We start from the raw sequence: 25351 nt of genomic DNA on the forward strand, positions 1-25351 counted from the left end.
CAATTCTTTTTCATTTTCTTTATGCTGTCTTTTATGGTGTGGTGTTATTTTATCGTAGTCACATTTATTAATCTATTACTTTAGTCTTAAGTCATCCTTCCTTACCTCACCATCACTGAGCTGTTCTCTTGTATTTTTTTGCAGCTTTAGAGTTTGCTTTCCATGCTTAGGTCTTTGATACACCTGGAATTTATGTGTGAGTGATGCTTCCTCTTTCTGCCGACGGGTGACCTGGTTTTCCAACATCATTTGGCGGCTGCTCCACCCTTTTTCCATGATTTGGAACGGCGCCACCGCCTTTGTCAAACACCCGGTTTCATACGTCAGGCCTGTTTCTGGCTCTCGTTCTGCCCCATGCCTTCCCTGTCCAATCCACAGAGTATTAATTATTTTAGCTTAACAGTAAGTCTTGGGGAGTGAAGCAAGAGCTAATTTCCTGGTTTGTTCTTCAGCATCGCTTGACTGTTCATGGCCCATTGCTTGTCCATGTGGATGTAAAGATGAGCTTGTTAAGTTCTACCAGGGTTCTGCTGAGGTCTTTTATTAAAAACAACTTTACTGAGGCTGGGCGCGGTGGCTCACGCCTGTAATCCCAGTACTTTGGGAGGCTGAGGCGGGCGGATCACCTGAGGTCAGGAGTTCGAGACCAGCCTGGCCAACATGGTGGAACCCCGTCTCTAATAAAAATACAAAAATTAGCCAGGTATGGTGGCGAGTGCCTGTAATCCCAGCTACTCGGGAGGCTGAGGCAGGAGAATCGCTTGAACCCAGGAGGCGGAGGTTACAGTGAGCCAAGATCACGCCATTGCATTCCAGCCTGGGCGACAGAGTGAGACTCCGTCTCAAAAGAAAAACAAACAAACAAACAAAAAAAACCTTTAAGATATAACTTAACACACCATATAATTTTCCCATTTAAAGTGTACAAGTCAGTGGTTTTGGCATATTAAATTTTTAATTATTATTATTATTTTTTTGAGAGGGAGTCTTGCTCTGTCGCCCAGGCTTGACTGCAGTGGTGCGATCTTGGCTCACTGCAAGCTCCGCCTCCTGGGTTCACGCCATTCTCCTGCCTCAGCCTTCCGAGTAGCTGGGACTACAGGCACCTGCCACCATGCCTGGCTAATTTTTTTGTATTTTTAGTACAGTCGGGGTTTCACCATGTTAGCCAGGATGGTCTCGATCTCCTGACCTCGTGATCCGTCCGCCTCGGCCTCCCAAAGTGCTGGGATTATGGGCGTGAGCCACCACACCTGGCTAAATTTTTAATTTTTAAAAATTGTGGTAAAATATGTATAACATGAAGTTTTCTGTTTTAACCTTTTTTTTTTTTTTTGAGACAGAATTTCGCTCTTGTTGCCCAGGCTGGAGTGCAATGGTGCAATCTCGGCTCACTGCAACCTCCGCCTCCTGGGTTCCAGCGATTCTCCCACCTCAGCCTCCCGAGTAGCTGGGATTACACGCATGCACCACCACGCCTGGCTAATTTTGTATTTTTAGTAGAGACGGGGTTTCTCCATGTTGGTCAGGCTTGTCTCAAACTCCTGACCTTAGGTGATCCACCTGCCTCAGCCTCTCAAAGTGCTGGGATGACAGGCGTGAGCCACTGCGCCCGGCTTTGCAATTTCCAATTTTTTTATTGCCCCAAACAGAAACTTAGTGCCTATTAAGCAAGAACTCCCCACTTCCCTTCCTTCAGCCTTGGCTTAGCGCTAATTTACTTACTGTCTCTATGAATTTGCCTCTTCCAGGTACCTCATGTAAGTGGGAGCGTATGTTATTTGCCCTTTTGTGTCTGGATTATTTCACTTAGAATAATGTTACCCAAGTTCATCCATGCTGGAGCAAATGCAGCATTAGAGCGTCGTTCCTTTTGTGGAGGAAGAACAGTTATTCATGTGCATGCCCCACATTGTGCGCACACATTCATCAGGTGATAGACATTTGTGTTCCTCCCCTCTTCCGGTTATTGTGAGTGACGCTGCTATGAGCGTTGCTGTCTAAGTATCTGATTGAGTCCTGCTTTCAATTCTTTTGGATATATAGCTAGAAGGGGAATTGCTGGATCTTATGTTAATTCTATGTTTAACTTTTTTTTTTCATTTTTAGTTTTTTTTGAGATGGAGTCTCACTCTATCACCCAGGCTGGAGTGCAGTGGCATGATCTCAGCTCACTGCAACCTCCACCTCTCGGGTTCAAGTGATTCTTGTGCCTCAGCCTCCCAAGTGGTTGGGATTACAGGCCCCCATCACCATGCCTGGCTAATTTTTGTATTTTTAGTAGAGACAGCATTTCACCATGTTGGCCAGGCTGGTTTTGAACTTCTGACCTCAGGTGATCTGCCTGCTTCGGCCTCCCAAAGTGTTGGGATTACAGGTGTGAGCCACCGCGCCTGGCCAATAATAGCTATCTTAGTGAGTATGAAGTGGTATTTCATTGTGGTTTTGATGTTTACTTCCCTAATGATTAGTGATGTTGAGCATCTTTTCGTGCACCTATCGGCCATTTGTGTATCTTCTTTGGAAGAATGTTCATTCAAGTCCGTTGCCCATTTTAAAATTGAGTTGTTTTTATTGTTGTTGAGTTGTAAGAGTATTTATATTTTCTGGATATTAATCCCTTATTAGAGATATGATTTGCAGATATTTTCTCCCTTTCTGTAGGTTTCTTTTCACTTTTTGATAGTGCCCTCTGGTGCAGCAGCCCCCAACCTTTATGACACCAGGCACTGGGCTCATGGAAGACAATTTTTCCACAGACCAGAGGTCGGGGGATGGTTTTGGGACGATTCAAGTGCGTTATTACATTTATTGTGCACTTTGTTTCTATTATTGTTACATTGTGATATATAATGAAATAATTATACAACTCACCATAATATAGAGTCAGTGGGAGCCCTGAGATTGTTGTCCTGCAACTAGACGGTCCCATCTGGGGGTGATGGGTCAGTGACAGATCATCAGGCATAAGATTCTCATAAGGAGCGTGCAACCTAGATCCCTCACATGTGCAGTTCACAGTAGGATTCATGCTCCTATGAGAATCTAATACCACCGCCGATCTGACAGGAGGCGGAGCTCAGGCAGTAATGCTCGTTCGCCTGCCGCCACCTCCTGCAGAGTGGCCTGATTCCTAACAGGCCACAGAACAGTACTGGTCTGTGGCCTGAGGGTTGGGGACCCTTGCTCTGATGCACGGAACTTTTTACTTTTGATGAAGTTCAATCTAATCTATTTTTTCTTTTATTGCCTGTGCTCTTGGTGTCATATCCGAGAAATTATTGCCAAATCCAATGTTATGAATATTTTCCCCTATGTTTCTTCTAAGAGTTTTCTAGTCTTAGCTCTTATATTTAGATCTTTGATCCATTTTGAGTTACTTTCTGTATTTGGTGTAAGGTAAGGGTCCAACTTTATTCTGCTTGGTTGTTGAAAAGATCATTCTTTCTCCACTTAATGGTCTTGGTACCTTTGTTGAAAACCAGTTGACATATATGTGGGGGTTTATTTCTGGGTTATTATTCTATTCCGTTGATCTAGCTAGTTTTAAATTTTCTACCTTTTCTACCTGTTTTTGTTTAATAGTTTACTGTTTTTATCTGAACAAAATTCCTCTTTCAATAGTTGATCCTGCTGAATGTCTTCCCGTAGCATTGGGCTTCCTCAGGTAACCTGGCATTTTGGTTTGAATAGAAGGGTTTTTATTGTCCTTTTTTTCTTTTTTTATTTTGAGATATTTATCTTTTCTTTATTTATTTATTCGAGTCGGAGTCTCGCTCTGTAGCCCAGACTGGAGTGCAATGGCGCAATCTCGGCTCACTGCAACCTCTGCCTCCTGGGCTCAAGCAGTTCTCCTGCCTCAGCCTCCCGAGTAGCTGGAATTACAGGCATGCGCTACTGCGCCCAGCTAGTTTTTGTATTTTTTTTTGTAGAGACGGGGTTTCACCATGTTGGTCAGGCTGGTCTCGAACTCCTGACCTCAGGGGATCCACCTGCCTTGGCCTCCCAAAGTACTGGGATTACAGGCGTGAACCACTGTGCCCGGCCGATATTTATCCTATTTTTGACCCCCAGTTCTGTCTCAGATTTTGTCTGTTACGGCTATGTGTTTGGAGCGGGTGATCACAAAGCCTTCGCCAAGAACCCTGGATGCGCGTTAGAGGCAGAGCCAGCAGGATTGTTGGTGACCCGGACGTGGCATATGAGAGAAGGACCGGAGTCAGGGATGAAGTTTCAGGTTTGGTTTAAACAATAGGTGACTGGTGCGATCCGCTGAGGGGAACAAAGGGGGAAGGAGCAGGACTGGAAGTAAGAATAGAAAGTTTCTTAGTCACTGTGATGTAACAACTCTGAACTTTAGAAAAAAGGTACATCTTTTATACTTGTGTTAAAGTGAAAAAAATAATTCTTTAGTTGTGTAATGTTTCATATGCTTTTTAAAATACCCATATGGAACTGTTAAAAAGGCAGTTGTATATATGAGCCTAGAGCTCCAGGTCTGGATTAAAGATACACACTTGGGAATAACGGACATGCGTGATACTCAAAGCTATTGGGTAGCTCCTACATGGAATGAGCCTTGGGGCACCCTCGTTTTGAATCTCTGGCAGAGAAGGCAAAGCTGGCAAAAGAAACTAAGAAGGAGCCCCCAGGGAGTGGGAGGAAAACAGGAGAGAGTTGGCCTAAGGCAAGAGACCACACCCTTTAAAGGAGACTTGACCGTTAGAATTGGCAAGAGGAAGGCTTGAGGTAGCATTTCAGTGGAGAGGTGGGTGAGAACCTGGCTGGAGAAAGCTAATGAGAGAGCTCAAGATAAGGAAGTGGTGAGACCGAGGATTGACACCATCCGTGAGTTCTGATGGGAAGGGAACAGAGAAATGCTCTGTGGTAGAAGGCAGATATGGGATCTTTAGTTTTGTTCTTAAGATGGGAGATACTGGGATATGTTTTTTTGCTAATAGAACTGACCACAGTGTCTTCCTCATTCCACCTTTCCAATACCCCACTTCCCTGTCTTCCTGAGATAAGGGAAAGAATGGTGGTATATGGGGGTCGGTTCAGGAGTCCCTCAGGCTCCATCCTGCTCCTGCTCTCAGTCTCCACTCCTCTCAGAAGGCAGCTTGAAGTGCAGCTGGGGTTGGTTAGGGGATATGGGTCAGCCTTAAACTCAATTGGTAGACAGATTTCCTGCCATGCCAGGGGCCAAGTGTCTATTCAGAGATGGTGCCTTTGAACTGGAGGTTTGGTCATGTGGGTGATTGTGAACATTCCTGTGAGCGCTTCTGGATTCAGTTCCTGCCTCCTCTCACCTGGCAAGCCGCTCTGTGCTGGCCCTGTGGTTGGACAGTGGGGGGACACAGGTGCTGGCCCTGTGGTTGGACAGTGGGGACACAGGAATGAAGGTGTCACTGCTCTTGGGAGACATGACCCTGGTGGTGGGAGGAGTGTGTCCTCTTCCAGGCTCAATGTGGAAACCTTTACTTCCCTTCTTCTCCTTGTTTCTGCCAGGATCCTTGCCACGGCTGGAACTGACTTCGACCTGCGAACACTGAGGGCTGTGCGTGTGCTGAGGCCCCTGAAGCTGGTGTCTGGGATTCCAAGTGAGTCCAGCGAAGACAGGCCCAAGCCGGCTTGGAGTAACAACCTCCTCTCCTACCCTCACCACGGACATGGCCATGGCCATGGTTTGGCTTTGGTGACTCTGAGCTTGCCACTTTTGACCCCAGGGAACCAGGCAGGAGGAAGGGAGGAGCAGGCCTTTTTTGGCCTGTCACACCCTCCATGAAAGCCCACAGGGTGATGCTGTTATTTTACCCTGACCTGGCTTCCCTAGATGGAAGCTTTGTTCCTCCTCACATACTCTGTCACATTTCAGCATTTTGCTTCTTTTTCTGAGGGTAAAGAATGGATGAGAGGTTGACCAAGGTGGTGGGGAAGGATGCCTGAGAAAATGTGCAAAAGCTGCAAAGGGCCACTTGTCTCTTGGCTCAGTCTTGTCAGGGCCACTGGGGACTGAGGCCAGCCTTAAGACATGCTCCTGAAGTGGGCTGCCCACAGAGCCTGCCATGAGCAGGAGGATGGCCAGGGTGACCTCATGAGCCAGTGACCACCTGGACCCCTATTCCTTCAGCCCAGTGGAAGTCTGGTTTTAGGTTTACCTAAGGGCCTGAGTGGACATGGAACTAGAGCTGTGTCCTCCTGAGGCCACTGAGGGAAGACCCGTGATTGGCTCCCTGTTCTACCCTGAGACCTTGCCAGGCAATGGTTCTGGCCCATATCCAAGTGCTGGGGCCAGACTCGAAGGGGAGGGGTCAAGGTTTACAGGCTCCTCTGCCCAGTTCCTCACATGCTGTATGGCCAGTGGCAGAACATTCCCAGGGGCAGGTCTTTTTTGCCTCACTTTCTCCCAAGGAGTTGGGTCTGTTAGGAATACCTGTACTTCTCCCCCAGGATCCCCTGCTCTTCCCTCCCAGGGTCCCCTCCTCTTAGCTCCCAGCATTCTCTGCTCCTTCCTCCCAGGATCCCCTGCCCTTAGCTCCCAGCATTCTCTGCTCTTCCCTCCTAGAATTCCCTGTTCTTTCCTCTCAGGATGTCCTCTGACTTGGCTCTTCCTTCTCAGGATTTCATTCTCTTTCCTCTCAGGATTCTCTGTTGCCCCACCCTGAGCCCCACTCCCCACCCCAGACTTCATACCCTGACACCCCCACATCCCACTCCTCTGCCTACTTTGAGACACTTCTCAGTCGACTTCTCTCTAGGACCTTATGCTTTGTCCCTAGGACTCTCAGCTCTGCCCTACACAAGCACTCTCTGCCCCTCTGCGCCTTAAGGGGCTTCAGCTCTATCCTTTGCCCTTGCAAGCACTCACTGCTTAGCACCTTGCTGTCCCTGCTAGGTTCCTGCTGTTCTGTCCCTGCCCCCACCAAATTCCTTGCCCTACCCTGCCCACGTTGCTTCCTGACCTGCCCTGTTCTGGCCCCAGGTTTGCAGGTGGTGCTCAAGTCCATCATGAAGGCCATGGTTCCACTCCTGCAGATTGGGCTGCTTCTCTTCTTTGCCATCCTCATGTTTGCCATCATTGGCCTGGAGTTCTACATGGGCAAGTTCCACAAGGCCTGTTTCCCCAACAGCACAGGTGAGGCCAGGCAGCACCCTCCAGCACAGGCAAGTGCCACGGATGCGTTCATCCAGGAGATGGGCACTGTTCTAGGTGCTAGAGGGGCCTTCTTGGTGCCAGATACATGAGGTGGAGCTGACATTCTAGTGGGGGACATAGACGATAGCCTGATAAACACAAGTAAATAAACACAGAAATATAATAATTATCGATTGTAGTAACTTTTGGGAAGAAAACAAAAAGGTATTTGAAATAGAATAATTTGGGGCCTGCTTTACAGAGGGGCCCAGGAGGCCAACTCTGCCAAGGTGACCGTCGAGCAGCATCTGAATGCAGGGAGATTGGAGCCGTGTGGCCACCTGGGCAGAACTTCAGTTACCAGTAGTAGTAGTAGTAGGTGCAAAGGCCTATGGTGCGGAGCAGCGAGAACAAGAGGAATCATGTGGGCTTCATGGCCCTGTCTTATTCTGAGAGAAACGGGAAGACAGTGGAGCGCTTTGAGTGAGGTGTGGCATCTTCTGATCATTCGGGCTGCTCCTGGGAGTTGAGTAGAAGATCTCAATCCAGCAGAGGTGATGGTGGCTGGGGCCAGGGTGTTGTGATAGAGGTGGTTAAAATGGGTCAAATTATGGGTGTATTTGTAGGTAAAGCCAACAGAATTTTCTGAGAGTCTATATGTGGGGGTAAGAGAAACAGAAGAGTTAAGGATGAAGCTAAGGTTTGTGGCTTGAACTACAAACTTAGTAAAGGAGAAAACCCAGCCGGCGGTGGCTCACCTATAGTCCCAGCACTTTTAGAAAAAGGTTTTACTAGAATTTAGATCGTTCGTGATTTTAAAAAAAAAACAAAAACCTTTAATCCAACTGTAAATAAAAGAGAATTTTCTTAAATCCCTGCAGATTTCCTGCAAATACCATACCTCAACTAAGCCTTGAGAGCTTTCCCTTTACAGTCAAGAACAAAAGCAAGTCACTTCTAGTCCACGTAGCATTTGTAGTCATGGCCAGGTCATGAGACAAGAAAAAGAAAAAGTTAAAAAAAAAAAAAAAGAACTGGAAAGGAGGAGATGAAACTCATTATTCTTAGTCTTCTTTACCAGCATTTATCAAGATATTTGGACAGAGAGGAATAAACTTAGGTAGTCAGTTTTGCCTTCTAAACCTGGGAGTATTTGCTTTCCAGCTGAGCAACTCCACAAAATTTCTCCTATGTTGATAGATATTTTCATGTGTTGTTATACAATTTTTTTTTTTTTTTTTTTTGAGACGGAGTCTCACTCTGTTGCCCAGGCTGGGGGGCAGTGGTGCAATCTCGGCTCGCTGCAACCTCCGCCTCCCAGGTTCTAGCAATTCTCCTGCCTCAGCCTCCCGAGTAGCTGGGATTACATGCCCATGGTGCCACGCCCAGCTAATTTTTTGTATTTTAGTACAGACAGGGTTTCACCATGTTGCCCAGGCTGGTCTCGAACTCCTGAGCTCAGACAATCTGCCCACCTCAGCCTCCCAAAGTGCTAGGATTACAGGCGTGAGCCACCGTGCCTGGCCTGCATTTTTTAAAAATATTTTTTTTCGGCCTTTCATTGAGATTTTTGAGAGTGAAGGGGGTAAACGTGCTGCTTGCTATCTTGTTCCAGAGATTAGCAGTGGTTTTCTGGTCTTTCTTTAACCCCTCTTTCTCTGGTCCCTGGCTGCCTGCTCGGTTTCAGCACAGTAGAAGGATGTCCGCCCTGTAGGGTCAGTGCAGCGAGACCTGGGCCAGGAGGTCTCCAGCCACCCTCCGGGTACATGTTCGGTTGGTTCCAGATCATCCTGCCTGACAGGCACCAGACTGCACAGTGGCTGAGTCCAGCTTGGGACTGGCCAAGGGCCTCAAGTTAGATCTGCGTGTCAGGAGGATATTGCTGGCAGTTTGGCTGTGAGGGAGAGGTACAGTCAGCGTGGCAGTTTGGCTGTGAGGGAGGTAGTTTGGCTGTGAGGGAGAGGAACGGTCCTCGTGGCAGTTTGGCCGTGAGGGAGAGGTACAGTCAGCGTGGTGGTTTGGCTGTGAGGGAGGCAGTTTGGCTGTGAGGGAGAGGAACGATCAGCGTGGCGGTTTGGCTGTGAGGGAGAGGAATGGTCAGGGTGGTGGGAAGAATGGGAGGTTAGGAGTTTGTTGTTTTTAGTTTTAAGATGAATGGGCTGTGAGCCCACCATCAAGTGATGGTGGGCAGGTTCCAGTAGGAGGGAGAGGCCAGCCGTTACTCCCTGAGTTGGTCACTCGTGAGCTCGGGGTCAGCAAGAGGCGATGCCTGATGCAGATTCGAGGAGGGATGGTGGGAAGTTGAGGGAGAGTTTCTGTTGGTGGCTGGTTCCTGCCCACCTGCTGTGAGCTCTCCAGAGCCCAGGAATCCTGGTGGGGATTGGAGAGCTTGGTATTTCTGAGCTCAGGGTCTGCTTCATTCTCCTTCTTGCAGATGCGGAGCCCGTGGGTGACTTCCCCTGTGGCAAGGAGGCCCCAGCCCGGCTGTGCGAGGGCGACACTGAGTGCCGGGAGTACTGGCCAGGACCCAACTTTGGCATCACCAACTTTGACAATATCCTGTTTGCCATCTTGACGGTGTTCCAGTGCATCACCATGGAGGGCTGGACTGACATCCTCTATAATGTGAGTGGCGTCTTGGCCCTGGGCCTGAGGGCAGGCCCTGGACCTCCTGAGCTGGTGCCTCTGGGGGTCCATTTAGGGGGGCCCTTCTGACCTCAGAGCCTCTGCCCAGCCCTAGGCTCCTCCCTGCACCCCTAGGATGAAATGCAGGCTCTTTCCGGCAGACGCCCCACCCAAGGGTCCACCACAGGCAGCCTCAGCTCAGACTCCTGAGGTGGGTCCTCCTGGAGTTGACTCCTTCGTGAAAATGAAGCAGAAGGCTGACTGGTGGAGGTCAGAGAAGAAAACTCCAGAGGAGATGCTGCTGTTTCTGTTGGCAAGGACGATAGTAGCACTGCTAGCTGCTCTGGGTTAGGCCCTCTGGGAAGTGTTTTATTCCTGTTGACTCCTCTCAGGAACCTGTTGCACAGATGATGAGGCTGACTTGTGGAGAAGCTGACTAACTTTCTCCAGCCCGAGGACCATGGGCAGCTGTTGCTGTGCCACCCCTCTAGGGTCTCTGTTGGAGTTGAGGGACAGTAGGGCTGCTGGGCCTCCCGTCCCCAGGCTGCCCGGCGAAGGTGGTGAACCGCGGAGCAGGGCCGAGGCCCCCAAGACCTTCCTCGGTCACGCAGGGATTCTTAGAGTGGAGCCTGTGGCTTGTGCATTTGTTTCCTTCATGCCGAGTCTGTCTGGTCCTGTTTCCTCTTTGGTCTCCTCGCTCTCATCAGGATGCCGGCCTGTCTCTGCAGTTTACGGCAGCCTGGATTTGGTGGCCATGATTGAAGTTGAGTATAAGGCTTGGGGGGGGTGCCTGATGGCCCAGCTCCCTCACGTTGCCTCTGCCTGGGTCCCTTCTTGGTGGAGTCTCCCATCCCCCCACCACCGACTCTTGAGCAGATCTGCCTCTTTATAGGAAGGCCTCTGCTGCTGTCTGTCCCCTCTGTGAGTCCTGTGAGCTACCAGGGCATGAGAATAATTAAGTTAGTACTTGAGGGGCTGTGGAAGGTGGAGAAGGGTCAGGCGCCTGTGGGTCAGGAATCTGGGAGGGGTGCTAGGTTTTGAGTAACTAGAGGATGTGTTCCCCTCAGGTGCTGTCAGGGTGGGGAGGGGGCCGGAGTGCAAGGTGCTTTCACCTAGAGCTTGTTACTTGTGCCCTGGGGTGAAGCTTGGTCCACGTGTGCCTGGGAGCCTGTGCCTCTCTCCCCAGCCTCCAGCAGCTGTGCTCATGAGGGCTGGTGGCATGATGGTGGACAGGTCCTGGGGAGAGACTGGGGCCCTTTGCCCTGTGCCTCATGCGTTCATGGAGATAGGGCTGGGCATTCAGCAGGCATTTGCTAAATGCTTATTGAGCTCGTTTATCAAGCTTCTTGAACAGGCAGATGGCAGATGAGGAGTTAAGGAAAAGCCAGCACAGGGTCCATGTGAACCAGATTCCTCCTCGAGTGGGAGTCGTGTCTGATGACAGGCTTGTGTGATTGAGGGAATGAGGAACAGGACAAAGCCGGTGATGAGGAGCTTGGCTGTTCTCTCTCTGTAGCCAATCAAGGAACAATTCCCACAAAGACAGACCCTAAAAATAGCTCTGAGCTGGCTGCATTCCTGCTGGCCCCACCCAAATGAAGGACTGTGTGACCAGGTCTCCACAGCCCTCAGTGTCCACTGGGGCTTGGCCAGGGGCCGCACATGACTCAGATTCTTCTGCCTGGGTCTCTGCCTCCCGCAGGAGGGGATGGGCAGGAGCCCCATCCTGGGGCAGGCAGCACTGGCCAGGAGGGGCCACAGAGGTTTCAGCCAGCATGTGTTTCAGTAGGACCCAGTGAGTGCTGGCTCCGCTTACACAGTGGTGAGCAGAGGCATTCGACACGTAAGGGCATGGACAGTGGCGAGTGCCGTGAAGAAAACAGAAGAGGTTGAGGAGCAGGCAGTGACGAGGTACAGGGTACTGGGAGGGCAAGGCCTGGTGAGGTCTAGAAACCAGACATGCAGATGCTACAACACCTTGGAAGCTTGGCCGGGGCAGCAAGATGCAGTCATGGCAGTGCCTGGGGCTGGCGCCACACAAGGCCCCAGAGCAGGTAGCCAAGAACCGACCAGTCCGCTCCTCCACACTAAGGGCATACAGGGTCGGTCACTGGAGATTAGACAGGAGTTTTGAAGAGGATCCTTTGGAGAGAGCGAGAGCCCGCCCCTCACCTCCAACCCAGTGAGAGGGACTTTTGTGGCCCCTCGGATATACGCTCCTTCAAGCAATGACATCTGGGTTCTTTGTGGGCGGAAGCCCACGGCCTGCAGTAGGGGTGGAGGCAGAGAGATGGAAAGCTCAGTCCGTGTTGGGAGCAGGAGTGGGGGTGTGAGCAACAGCGGGCAGCCAGGACCGGGTGAGTGATGGGGTCTCAGAGTGGATTGCTGAAAAGCTGGTGGCAGCGGGTGGGGCAGCGTGGGGGCACTCCAGCTTGAGGAGAAATGGCTTTGTCTGTGCCTGGAAAAGCAGGCGGAGTCAAATGGAGCTTTGGGAGAACACACGGATGAGCCTGGGGAGAGACGAGTCGGCAGTAAATTCCTGTTAGGTCCAGAGAGGTGAGATCATCTCAGGACAGCACCGCACGAGGAATAACAGCTGTCCCTTCTCCCTCCCCTGCTGTGATAGTGCTGGGTACAGGGGAGCAAAGAGGGGCCGTGTCTTTCTCTTCCACTGAAAGCAACCAGCTGTGGCAGGCCAGCCAGCGAGAGTGGGTATTGTCATGGTGAAGCATGTCAGTTTGATGGCCAGCTGAGACTGAGACTGGACACTTTCTTTTTTTTTTGAGACAGAGTCTTGCTTTGTCTCCCATGCTGGAATGCGATGGCACGATTTTGGCTCACTGCAACCTCTGCCTCCTTGGTTCAAGTGATTCTCATGCCTCAGCCTCCTAAGTAGCTGGGATTACAGGCACGAGCCACCCCATCCAGCTAATTTTTGTATTTTTAGTGGAGACAGGGTTTCGCCATGTTGGCCAGGCTGGTCTTGAACTCCTGACCTCAAGTGATCTACCTGCCTCAGCCTCCCAAAGTGCTGGGATGACAGGCATGAGCCACCACACCTGGCCTGAACACTTTCAACTGCCGAGTTGAAACTGTATTTTCCACTTGAAAGTGGCTGTAGAACTTCGCCTTACCCAGGAGCTGTCAGAATGGTCATGGGCTTGTCCAAATTATCATCTAGGGGCATGGGAAGGATTTCTCCAATGACCATGTTTGGAGGCGCAGTGGAGGTAAATCATGTTGCTTTATGATTATGCACGTATGCTTTGCTTATGTTCATTGTACTAGTTCCGTGAAGATCCAAGTTTGAAAGTGTTCAGATCCATAGCTGCATTTTGATGCTAGCACAAACAGGCCTTGCTCATAGAGTGGATGTGAGAGAAGGAGAAGTCTCAACGATGATGTGACTTGAGGCACTGAGAAAGGTGATGCCATTTACTAAGAAAGGGAGAATCGGGAGACACGAATTTACTTAGTTTTGTTATAGCAGAGGGTGGTGGCGGAACTCCAGGATTCTGTTTTGGCTCTGCAAAACTTTAGATAACTATTTTCATACAAGTGGAGATCTTGGGTGTGTAGGTGGGTGTTTGAGAGGGAATTCAGAGGGAACAGCAGGCTGATGAGCATTTGAAGTACTTGACTCATGGACAGTGTTTAAAACTATGTGAGAGGATGAGATCACCTGGGTAATAAGTGCAGATGGAGAAAAGAAGGCCCAAGGCTGATACTGGGGAGAATTCCAGCACTCAGAGGTCCAGTAGGAAAGCAGGAGCCACGAAAGAGATGGGGCTGGAGCTTTTAAGGGGGCAGGAAAAACACCACGACCACACAGCATCCCGGGAGCAGAGTAAAGCGTTCGGAGAACATGGTCAGCACCACGGCCGCGCAGCATCCTGGGAGCAGAGTAAAGCGTTCGGAGAACATGGTCAGCACCACGGCCGCGCAGCATCCTGGGAGCAGAGTAAAGCGTTCGGAGAACATGGTCAGCACCACGACCGCACAGCATCCTGGGAGCAGAGTAAAGTGTTCGGAGAACATGATCAGCACTGCAGCCGCGCAGCATCCTGGGAGCAGAGTAAAGCGTTCGGAGAACACCATCAGCACCGTGACCGCACAGCATCCTGGGAGCAGAGTAAAGCGTTCGGAGAACATGATCAACACCACGACCGCACAGCATCCTGGGAGCAGAGTAAAGCGTTCGGAGAACCTGATCAGCACCACGACCGCACAGCATCCTGGGAGCAGAGTAAAGCGTTCGGAGAACACGATCAGCACCACGACCGCACAGCATCCTGGGAGCAGAGTAAAGCGTTCGGAGAACACGATCAGTACCGCGATCACACAGCGTCCTGGGAGCAGAGTAAAGCGTTCGGAGAACACGATCAGCACCACGACCGCACAGCATCCTGGGAGCAGAGTAAAGTGTTTGGAGAACATGATCAGCACTGCAGCCGCGCAGCATCCTGGGAGCAGAGTAAAGCGTTCGGAGAACATGGTCAGCACCACGACCGCACAGCATCCTGGGAGCAGAGTAAAGTGTTCGGAGAACACGATCAGCACCGCGACCGCACAGCATCCTGGGAGCAGAATAAAGCATTCGGAGAACATGATCAGCACCACGACCGCACAGCATCCTGGGAGCAGAGTAAAGCGTTCGGAGAACATGATCAGCACCGCGATCACACAGCATCCTGGGAGCAGAGTAAAGTGCTCGGAGAACATGATCAACACCACACCGCACAGCATCCTGGGAGCAGAGTAAAGCGTTCGGAGAACATGATCAGCACCACGACCGCAAAGCATCCTGGGAGCAGAGTAAAGCGTTCGGAGAACATGATCAGCACCACGACCGCACAGCATCCTGGGAGCAGAATAAAGTGCTCGGAGAACATGATCAGCACCGCGATCACACAGCATCCTGGGAGCAGAGTAAAGCGTTCGGAGAACATGATCAACACCACACCACACAGCATCCTGGGAGCAGAGTAAAGCGTTCGGAGAACATGATCAGCTGGGCCAGATGTTGCTGGAGGTCAAGGAAGATGGGAAGCCCGGACTGTTGCGTTTGATAAGAGGAAGGTTGTTGGTAAACTTGGCAAGGGCGGTCTCAGTGGTGGGACAACGCCCTGGAATGCGTGGGTTACAGGGAGGAGGAGGTGAGGAAATCAGGGTGGCAACCGCAGATGACTCTTGGAGGGAGCAGAGCAGTGGGAAGTAACTGCAGGGAGACAGGGGTTAAGGGAATGGGCTTTTAAAAAATTAAACTTTTAATTTAAGATAATTGTAGATTCACATGCAGTAGTGAGAAATACAGAAATAGCTCATGCATCCTTTACCCTTTTCTCCCAGTGGTGACAACCTGCAAAACTATAGTCAGGGTCACAGTTAGGATATTGATGTTGATACATCAGTATCAATGATGTTGACACAGTGAAGACGTAGAGCATCTCCATCCCTGCAGGGGTCCCTCCTGCTGCCCTTTTGTGGTCACACCCGCATCTCTCCTGCCCTCGCCCCCTCCTTAATCCCCGGCAACCACTAATCTGTTTGCCATATCTATAATTTAGTCATTTTGAGAATGTTACGTGGACAAAACCACACCAAATGTAACCTTTTGGTACTGGCTGCTTTCACTCAAACAAAATTCTCTGGAGGTTCACCCAGGTGTTGGTAGCATGTTTCCTTTTACTGCCAGGTAGTATTGAGTGGTGCCAGGTGTCAATTTGTGGTGCCAGGTAGTATTCCGTGGTGCCAGGTGGTATTCCGTGGTGCCAGGTGGTATTCCGTGGTGCCAGGTGGTATTCCATGGTGCCAGGTGGTATTCCGTGGTGCCAGGTGGTATTCCATGGTGCCAGGTGGTATTCCATGGTGCCAGGTAGTATTCCGTGGCTCCAGGTGGTATTCCGTGGTGCCAGGTAGTATTCCGTGGCTCCAGGTGGTATTCCGTGGCACCAGGTGGTATTCCGTGGTGCCAGGTAGTATTCCATGGCTCCAGGTGGTATTCCGTGGCTCCAGGTGGTATTCCGTGGTGCCAGGTAGTATTCCGTGGTGCCAGGTGGTATTCCCTGGTGCCAGGTGGTATTCCGTGGTGCCAGGTAGTATTCCGTGCTATGGCTGTACCATGGCTTGTTTAACCGTTCACCTGTGGAAGCTTCCAATTTGGGGTTATTATGAATAGAGTTGCTGTACACATTTTTGTGCAAACATAAGTTTTCATTTCTCTGGGATAAATGCCAAAGAGTGCAAATTTCTAGGTATAGTAGTTGCATGCTTAGTTTTTTAAGAAACCAAAGCTTTTCCAGAGGGCTACACTCTTTTACATTTCCACCAGTGGTGTGTGAATAGTTCAGTTTTTGTGCATTCTGGCCAGTGTTTGGTGGTGACACTTTTTTATTTTAGCCATTCTGATAGGGGTATAGTGACACATCACTGGTTTTAATTCGCATGTCCTAACAGTGAGTGGTGTTGAGCATCTTTCTGGACTTATTTGCCATCTGTGTATCTTTGGTGAAACGTCTCTTCACATCTTTTGCCCATGTTCTGTTTGAATTGTTCTTTATATATTCTAGGAACTGGTTCTTTGTCATATATATGGTTTGCAAATATTTTCTCCTAGTCAGTAGCTTATCTTTTCATACTTTTCACCTGGTCTTTCATGGAACAAATGTTTTTAAAATTTGATCGAGTCCAGTTTATCAATTTATCCTTTTGTGGATTGGGCTTTTGGTGTCAACTGTAAGAACTCTGCCTAGTCCTGAATCCTGAAGATTTTCTTTTTTTTTTTCTAAAAGTTGTATTGTTTTATATTTTACATGTAAGTTTACAATCTATTTTAGGTTAATAAAAGTGTGAGGTTTTTGCCTGCCTGCCTTCCTTCCTTCCTTCTTTCCTTCCTCCCTCCCTTCCTTCCTCCTTCCCTCCCTCCTTCCCTCCCTCTTTCCCCTCCTCCTTCCTTCCCTCCCTCCCTTCCTTCCTGTAGCTCCAACACCCCTTGTTGAAAAGGCTGTATTTCCTCCATTGAATTGCCTTTGTACCTTTGCCAGAAATCAGCTGGACATATTTATGTGGGTCTATTTCAGGTCCACGTGTCTTTCTCTCTGCCAATACCACGTAGTCTTGCTTATTGTAGTTACCTATATGTTTTGAAGTCAGGTTAGACTGATTCTTTCCATGTTATTCAGTTTGGGAGAATTGACATCATTACTATGTTGGATGTTCCATGTCCAATCAGAACATGTTATTTCTCTTCATATATTTAGATCATGTTTGATTTCTTTCATTAGCATTTTGTAGTTTTCAGCATACAATATACATTTTGTTAGATTTGTAGCTATTATGTTTTCTTATTTTCTTTGAATGATTCTAATGTGTTTTGAGCACCCCTGGAGAAACTGGTGTTCTAGTACTAGAGTGTCCAGCAACCCTGCCCTCACAGGGGATGAAAGGAAGCGGACCTTGGTGTTGACAGTGTACCCTTCATGGGATACTTGGATTACTTGGCAGGCAGCCAGTGCCTGGTTGTCCCGCCTGTGACCAGGGGGTTCCTGATACAGGAAGCTTGTTTATACTGGCAGACATCCTTGTGGCTCTTGTCCGACCCGTGTCTGGTTTGTGCCTGACCAGCATTGCAGTGTTGGGAGCCCATCCTAGTTCCCCAGGGAAAACCTGGCCAAGGGTAGCCCTGGTTCTTCAGATGGAAGGCACACATTCAGTCACCACCACAACAGGAAATAAGTTCAACGATGTATTACCTACAGATCGGCAGGGAGGGCACCGTGAGTGGGGAGCGCCATCCTCCCTCCCCAGGTTATCTGAGGCAGTAATGAAGAGTCAGAGAGGTATAGGGGGAGGCAACTGGCCATGCTAGGGAATAGGGTGTGGGTCCCTTTAAATTTGTGGGCGAATGCCTGAATGGTCTGTTTAAAGGAGGCAGCAGAAATGTGTAGTCTGCTAGGTGGGAGAGATGCCTCTAAGTTCTTATCTCTGGCCACGTTTTGGGTGTGGTGTTCTAACACCTAGGCAGCAACCTTTGCTATGTTGTTCCCATTAGAAAATGGTATTGTATTTTAAATTTCAGTGTCCATGTGTTCATTGCTAGTATATAGAAATACAATGGACTTTTGTATGTTGATCTTGATCATTCAACCTTACCAACTCCCTTATTAGTTCTGGGAGATTTTTTTGTAGATTCCTTGGGATCTTCTATGTTGATAATCATACAATTTGCAAACAGAAACAGTTTATTTCTTCTTTTGGATCTGCTTTTTTTTTTATTGTGCTAAAATACCGATAACATAAAATTTACCATCGTAACCATTTTTTTTTTTTTGAGATGGAGTCTTGCTCTGTCGCCCAGGCTGGAGTGCAGTGGTGCAATCTCGGCTCACTGCAAGCTCCCCCTCCCAGGTTCATGCCATTCTCCTACCTCAGCCTCCGGAGTAGCTGGGACTACAGGCACGCGCCACCATGCCCAGCTAAGTTTTGCATTTTTTTTTTTTTTTTTTAGTAGAGACGGGATTTCGCCATGTTGGCCAGGATGGTCTTGATCTCCTGACCTCATGATCCGCCCACCTCGGCCTTCCAAATTGCTGGGATTACAGGCGTGAGCCACTGTACCTGGCTTCCTTTTTTCCTTTCTTTTTTTTTTTTTTTTTTGAGACGGAGTCTCACTCTGTCGCCCAGGCTGGAGTATAGTGGCACTATCTTGGCTCACTTGCAAGCTCTGCCCCCTGGATTCAAGCGATTCTCCTGCCTCAGCCTCCCGAGTAGCTGGGATTACAGGCACCTGCCACAGTGCCCAGCTAATTTTTGTATTTTTAGTAGAGATGGGGTTTCACTATCTTGGCCAGGCTGGTCTTGAACTCCTGACCTCGTGATCCACCTGCCTCAGCCTCCCAAAGTGCTGGGATTACAGGTGTAAGCCACTGCGCCCAGCCACCTCCTTCCTTCTTAAGGCTGAGTAATATTCCATTGTATGACATTTTGCTTATCCATTCCTCTGTCAATGGACCATTGGGTTGCTTCCATGTTTTAACTCTTACGAAGAGTGCTGCCATGAACATGGTTGTATAAATATCTCTTTGAGACCTTGCTTTCAATTCTTTTGGGTATATACCCAGAAGTGGAATTGAGGGATCATATGATAATTACATTTTTAAGTTCATGAGGAACTGCTGTATCGTTTTGCACAATAGTTGTACCATTTGACATTCCCACCTTTTGGTGGGAATACACATGCATTTCCATTTCTGCACATCCTCACCAATACTTGTTAATTTCTGTGTTTTTGATAGTAGCCATTTTAATGTATGTGAGGTGGTATCTGCTTGTAGTTTTGATTTGCATTTCTTTAATGATTAGTGATGTTGAGCATTTTTTCTTGCACTTATTGGCCATTTGCATGTCTTCTTTGAAGAAATGTCTGTTGGAGTTCCTTGCCCATTTTTGAATCTGTTGTTTTGGTTGTTGTTGAGTTTTAGGCATTCTCTGTATATTCTGAGTATAATCCTTTTCAGATATATGATTTACGATTTTCTCCCATTCTATGTGTGCCCTTTTTACTGAATTGATGGTGTCATTTGATGCACAACATTTTAAAATTTTCATGCAGTCTAGTTTGTCTGTTTTTTCTTTTGTTGCCTTTACCTTTGATGTCATATCCAAGAAGTCGCTGTCAAATCTAATATTGTGAAGCTTTTGACCTATGTTTTCTTTTAAGAGTTTTACTTTTTTTAGGTCTCACATTCAGGTCTTTGATCCATTTTTTATTTAATTTTTGTATATGGTGTTAGATAAGGATCCAGCTTTCTTCTTCTTTTTTTTTTTTTTTGAGACAGAGTTTTGTTCTTGTTGCCCAGGCTGGAGTGCAATGGAACCCGCCTCCTGGGTTCAAGTGATTCTCCTGCCTCAGCCTCCTGAGTAGCTGGGATTACAGGCATCTGCCATTACGCCTGTCTAATTTTTGTATTTTTAGTAGAGACGGGGTTTCTCCATGTTGGTCAGACTGGTCTTGAACTCCCGACCTCAGGTGATCCGCCCACCTCGGATTTGCTGAAAAGACTGTCCTTTTACCATAAAATGGTCTTGACGCTCTTGTCAAAAATCATTTGGCCATATATGCAAGAGTTTATTTTGGGACTCTGTATTCTATCCCCTTGGTCTGCGTATCTCGATCTATGTGCGTAGCCTTATGGCACTGGCTAGAAACTTCAGCATTATGTTGAGTAAGAATGGCGAGAGCTGACATATTTGCCATGCTCCCAATCTTAGGAAAAAGCATTTGATCTATCACAATTAAGTATAATGTTAGCTGTACGGTTGAGTTGTTGTTTTTTCTTTTGAGGTAGATGCTGTTTATCAAGTTGGGGCAGTTCTACTCTATTCTATTCTTACTTTTCTGAGAGTTTTTGTTTTGAATGGGTGTTGAATTTTGTCACATGTGTTTTCTGCACTGATATGATCATGTGAGTTTTCTTCTTTAGTCTGTTAATATGGTGAATTACATTGATTTTTGAATATTGAACCAGCCTTGCATTCCCAGAATAAATCCCACATGGTCATGGTACCTAATTCTCTTTATGTGTTGCTGAATTGTATTTGTTAGCATTTTTACTAAGGAGTCTTACACTTATATTCATGAGGGATTTTGATCTGTAATTTTCTTGTCTTTTTTTGTTGTTGTTGTTGAGACGGAGTCTTGCTGTGTCACCAGGCTGGTGTGCAGTGTTGTGATCTTGGCTCACTGCAATCTCCGCCTCCAAGGTTCAAGGGATTCCCCTGCCTTAGCCTCCCAAGTAGGTGGGACTACAGGCACCCACCACCACGCCTGGCTAATTTTTTGTATTTTAGTAGAGACAGTGTTTCACCATGTTGGCCTGGATGGTCTCGATCTCTTGACTTTGTGATCTGCCTGCTTCAACCTCCCAAAGTGCTGGGATTACAGGCGTGAGCCCCACCGTGCCTGGCCTATGATTTTCCTTTTTTTGTATTGCCTTTGTCTGGTTTTGGTATCAAGGTAACACAAGCTTCATAAAATAAATCAGGAAGTATTTATTCCTCCTCTGTTTTCTGGAAGAGATTGTATAGAAATGTGTTATGTCTTTTAAAAACGTTTGGTAGGATTCTACTGTGAAACTCTCTGGGCTTAGAAATTTCTTTTTGGAGATCTTTTTTTTAAATAACACTTTTGCTGCAATATAATCTGTGTACCATAAAATTCACCATTTTAAAGTTTACAGTTTACAGTTCAGAGTTTTTTGTATGTTCAAAAAGTTGTGCAGCCATCATTGTTATCTAATTTTAAGCATTTTCATTAACCAAAAAAGAAGCCCTGTATCCATGAGCCATCAGTCCCTATTTCCTTATTCCCACAGCCTCTGGCAAGCACTAACCTTTCTGTCTCTGTAGATTTGTCTATTCCAGACATTTTATATAAATGGAATCATACAATCGGTGGCCTTTTGTGTTTTTACATCCACGATGAAGCAAGTATTGGTATTTTTTTGTCAAGTATGATTTTGTTGTGTATTTATAGCATATTTTATTTATATTTCATGAGTTGATGGACATTTAGATATTTCCACTTTTAAAAATTATGACTAATGCTGCTATGAACATTCTTGCACAAGTTTTTGCAAGGAATATGTTTTCATTTCTCTTGGGTATGGACCTAGGATTGGAATTACTGGATCATAGAACTCTGTGTTTAACCATTTGAGGAACCACCAAACTGTTTTCCATAGTGGCAGTACCATTTTATATTTATACCAGCAGTGCACAAGGGCTCCAGTTTCTCTGCATCCTTACCAGCATTTGTTGTCTGTCTGAAATTTTAACCATCAGGCCAGGAGTGGTGGTTTATGCCTATAATCCCAGCACTTTGGGAGGCTGAGGTGGGAGGATCACTTGAGCCCAAGAATTTGAGACCAGCCTGGGCACCATAGCAAGACCCTGTCTCTACAAAAACATTAAAAAGTTAGCCAGGCATGGTGGTGTGTGCCTGTAGTTCCAGCTACTCGGGAGACTGAGGTGGGAGGATCACTTGAGCCCAGGAGCTGGAGGCTGCAGTGAGCCAGGATAGCGCCACTGCACTCTAGCCTGTGTAACAGAGGGAGACCCTGTCTTTAAAACAGTAATAATAAAACTAAAAAATAAGACAATTTTCACCATCTTAGTGGGCATGAAGTGGTATTTCTGTTCAGTTTTGACTTGCATTTCTAAAGTGACTTATTTTTATTTTTGGGACAGGGTCTTACTGTGTCACTCAGGCTGGAGTACAGGGGCATGGTCATAGCTCACTGTAGCCTCAATTTCCTGGGCTCAAGTAATCCTCCCACCTCAGCTTGGGAGAGTAGCCAAGACCACAGGTGCACACTGCCAAGCCTGGCTAATTTTTAAATTTTTTGTAGAGATGAGGTCTTCCTGTGTTGCCCAGGCTGGTCTCAAGCTCCTGGGCTCAGGCGATTCTCCCTCCTCAGCCTCCGAAGTAGCAAGGACCACACGCGCATGCTACCATGCCTGGCTAAGTTTTTAAAACTGTTTTTTTTTGTAGAGGTGGGGTCTTGCTATGTTACCCAGACTGGTCTTGAACTCCTGGCCTCAAGTGATCCTCCCACCTTGGCCTCTCAAAGCTCTGGGATTACAGGCATGAGCCACCGCATGCAGCCATTGTTGAGCATCTTTTATGAGCCTATTCATCACTTGTATATCTTCTTTGAAGAAATGTCAGCTGGGCGCAGTGGCTCACGCTGGGGGTTTAGATGATTATTTAGACTTCCTTCTTTTGTGAGGTGGACATGTAGGTCTATATGTTTTCCTCTGGCACTGCTTTAGCTGTGTCCTGCAATTTGATGTGTTGTCTCTTCACTTTCATTCAGTTCAATGTATTTTTAAATTCCCTTGAAATTTCCTCTTTGACCTATGAGATTATTATATAGAACTGTCTTGTTTACTTTGTGTTTGGAGAGTTACCTGTTATCTTTCTGTTATTAATTTCTAGTTTGATTCTATTGTGGTGGGAGAATACACTAAACTGAAAGAATTTTAATTTTAAATTTGTTGACGTTTGTTACATGGCTCGGAATATGGTCTATTTTGATATTTATTTTGTGGGCACTTGGAAAGAATGTATATTCTGCTGTTGTGTGCTGCATGTACAGATGTTGATTGATTCTTTTGGTTGATGGTGTTGTTGAGCTCTTTTATATCCTTGCTGGTTTTCTGTCTATTCTACAAATTGTTAAGAGAGAGGTGTAGAAGTCTCCAGCTTTAATTGCAGATTTGTCTGTTTCTCTTTTCAGTTCTGTCAGTTTCTGTATCACTTATTTTGCAGCTCTGTTGTTGAGTATACACATATTTAGACTTGCTATTTTTTTTTGATGGATTGACCTTTTTATCATTATATACATGTTTCCCTGTGTCTCGGGTAATTTTGTTTTACTGGGAGGTTTGCTTTATCTGATATTAATCTAGCCACTCCAATTTAAAAAAATTAATCTTTGTATAAATCTTTTTTTATATTTTTACATTTTTTTGGAGACAGTCTCACTGTCACCCAGGATGGAGTTTAGTGGTGTGATGGTGTGCAATCTCAGCTCATTGCAGCCTCACCCTTCCACACTGAAGGAATCTTCTACATTAGATGGTATTATCTGGGGAGGGTCTTGACTACGAGTTGTCCAGGTTCTTGGCGGTTTGAACAAAGAATTGCACAAGATGCACAAAGCAACAAAGGAATGAAGAAATGAAGAAATGAAAGCACAGATTTATTGAAACAAAAGTACATTCCATAGTGTGGGATCGGGCTCGCGTAAACGGCTCAAGAGCCCTGGTTACAGAATTTTCTGGAGTTTAAATACTCTCTAGAGGTTTCCCATTGGTTAGCTGCTTACACCCTGTGTAAATGAAGACCAGGCCCTCTACCATTCTGATTGGTCATGGGAGGCGACCAATCAGGTACTTTCCATTTTTCGTCTGCGATACAGTGGAATGGGGGGCGTTGCAAAGGGAGTAGCCTCTTCTTTTGTTACTTGGATGTGGAGAGGTGGAGTTTTCCTTTTGATTTAGTTCTAGGAAGTCAGCACAAATCGGCCTTAGGTTCCTTGCCTCCAGACCCTATTCTCCTGCCTCATTTCCCCCGAGATGTGATCCCCATCATCTTTATAGGAGGCCGAGGGACTGATGGTTTTTTCTTCAGTAACTGCTTCATGCTGATTTGGGCACAGTTCCTACCTATTGGGGATCATGGAACTCTCACCCTGCTCTGTCTAGTGGAGACATGGTAGTTGCTGGATGGCCAGGGGTGGTGTCTTTACCTGGAACTGGCTGGAAACCTTGTCTCATGATCATCTGAAGCTTGATGGTCTCTGGGCGAGAGGAAATGAATTTGTTTAAGAGATTTAATGAACATGGTCCAAAAACCAAGGCAAATATAGTCATTAGTGATGGGCCGGCTAGAGGAAGGAGCCATGCACCTCAACTTAGCATTTCTGACCAGGAGCCCCATGACTCAGACAGCTGTTGTCGTATCTTAGGGGCCCAGTCAGCTAATTTCCAGGCGGCATCCCTTACTAATCCTGATTAGTTGACATAAAAACAGCATTTTTCCTCTAGAAAAAGACATAAGCCACCTTTTTAAGCAGTTAGGAGATCCAGTCCCCTTCAATTCTGTAAAGTGACTGCTGCCAAGGAGTCTGTCTGATTTTGTATGGCGACGATACTTTGGGCAGTGTCTTCTGAGCTTTCCATAAAATCTCTGGACAAGTTAGTGATAGGATAGGGAGATTGCAAGCCTGCTAACTCCCGTTTCTACTCTTGCTGTTCTTCCTAACCCAACCAAAAGGGGTGTGAGTTGGATGGCTCATTTGTGTCTGGTGGTTGCAGTTAAAGGTATAGTGAAGAATTGGTTGTTGGGAGCTACATTAATTTTGGGAGCTAAATAACAAGTTACAGGTTCCAGTCCAGTTGGCTGGTAAATCTAAGTAGGAACTGGTCCCGCACGGGAAAAAGGCTCCTTGTTTTTCAAGACAGAACTTGTTTTCTATGGTGAACACATGGGCTAGCTTGTTGTTTTCACTTTCCCATATGGTTGAGGTCTTTGCTAAGGTGGCCCTGGTTAAAGGCTGGAAAGGATCTTGGGAAGTATCTTGAGTTGCCCCAGCAGTTCTCTTTTCCCAGTGGAGGTAGTTAGGCTTAGTGTCCAGTAACAATCACCCAGAGGTATTTTCATACTGGGGAACCAAAAGGCAACTAGACGTCTCAGGATTAGTACATTCTTCACAAGGGAAACCGTGAATGCAGCTAGTGGGCCTGCCTCGACCATACTTAGGCTGTCCATCCTTTAAAGCCCTTAACCAGGGATGGTTTCCATGAAAACCGTACAGGTTATCTAAATGATGCGGTTTGGGTAACTGTATAGCTTACGTAATCGAGTGAAGGATTAACTTCCAGGGTGTAGTTGCATTGATGACTTTATTTTATCTTTACTTTTATTTATTTATTTATTTATTTATTATATTTTTTGAGATGGAGTCTCTCTCTGTCGCCTAGGCTGGAGTGCAATGGTGCGATCTCAGCTCACTGCAACCTCCACCT

The 25351-nt window shown here is 47.1% G+C and overlaps 1 protein-coding gene across 2 annotated transcripts in view; it reads left to right on the plus strand.

The window, feature by feature from the left end:
- CACNA1B (calcium voltage-gated channel subunit alpha1 B) overlaps positions 1–25351 on the plus strand; it is a 246838-nt gene that overhangs the window by 29890 nt on the left and 191597 nt on the right. For both annotated transcript variants that reach the window (NM_000718.4, NM_001243812.2), the window contains exons 4-6: positions 5509–5600; positions 6983–7135; positions 9570–9760. In NM_000718.4, the coding sequence (NP_000709.1) occupies positions 5509–5600; positions 6983–7135; positions 9570–9760 (436 nt within the window). The remainder of the gene's footprint in view (positions 1–5508; positions 5601–6982; positions 7136–9569; positions 9761–25351) is intronic.

The sequence above is a fragment of the Homo sapiens genome, chromosome 9 (assembly GCF_000001405.40).
Source record: "Homo sapiens chromosome 9, GRCh38.p14 Primary Assembly".
NCBI lineage: Eukaryota > Metazoa > Chordata > Mammalia > Primates > Hominidae > Homo > Homo sapiens.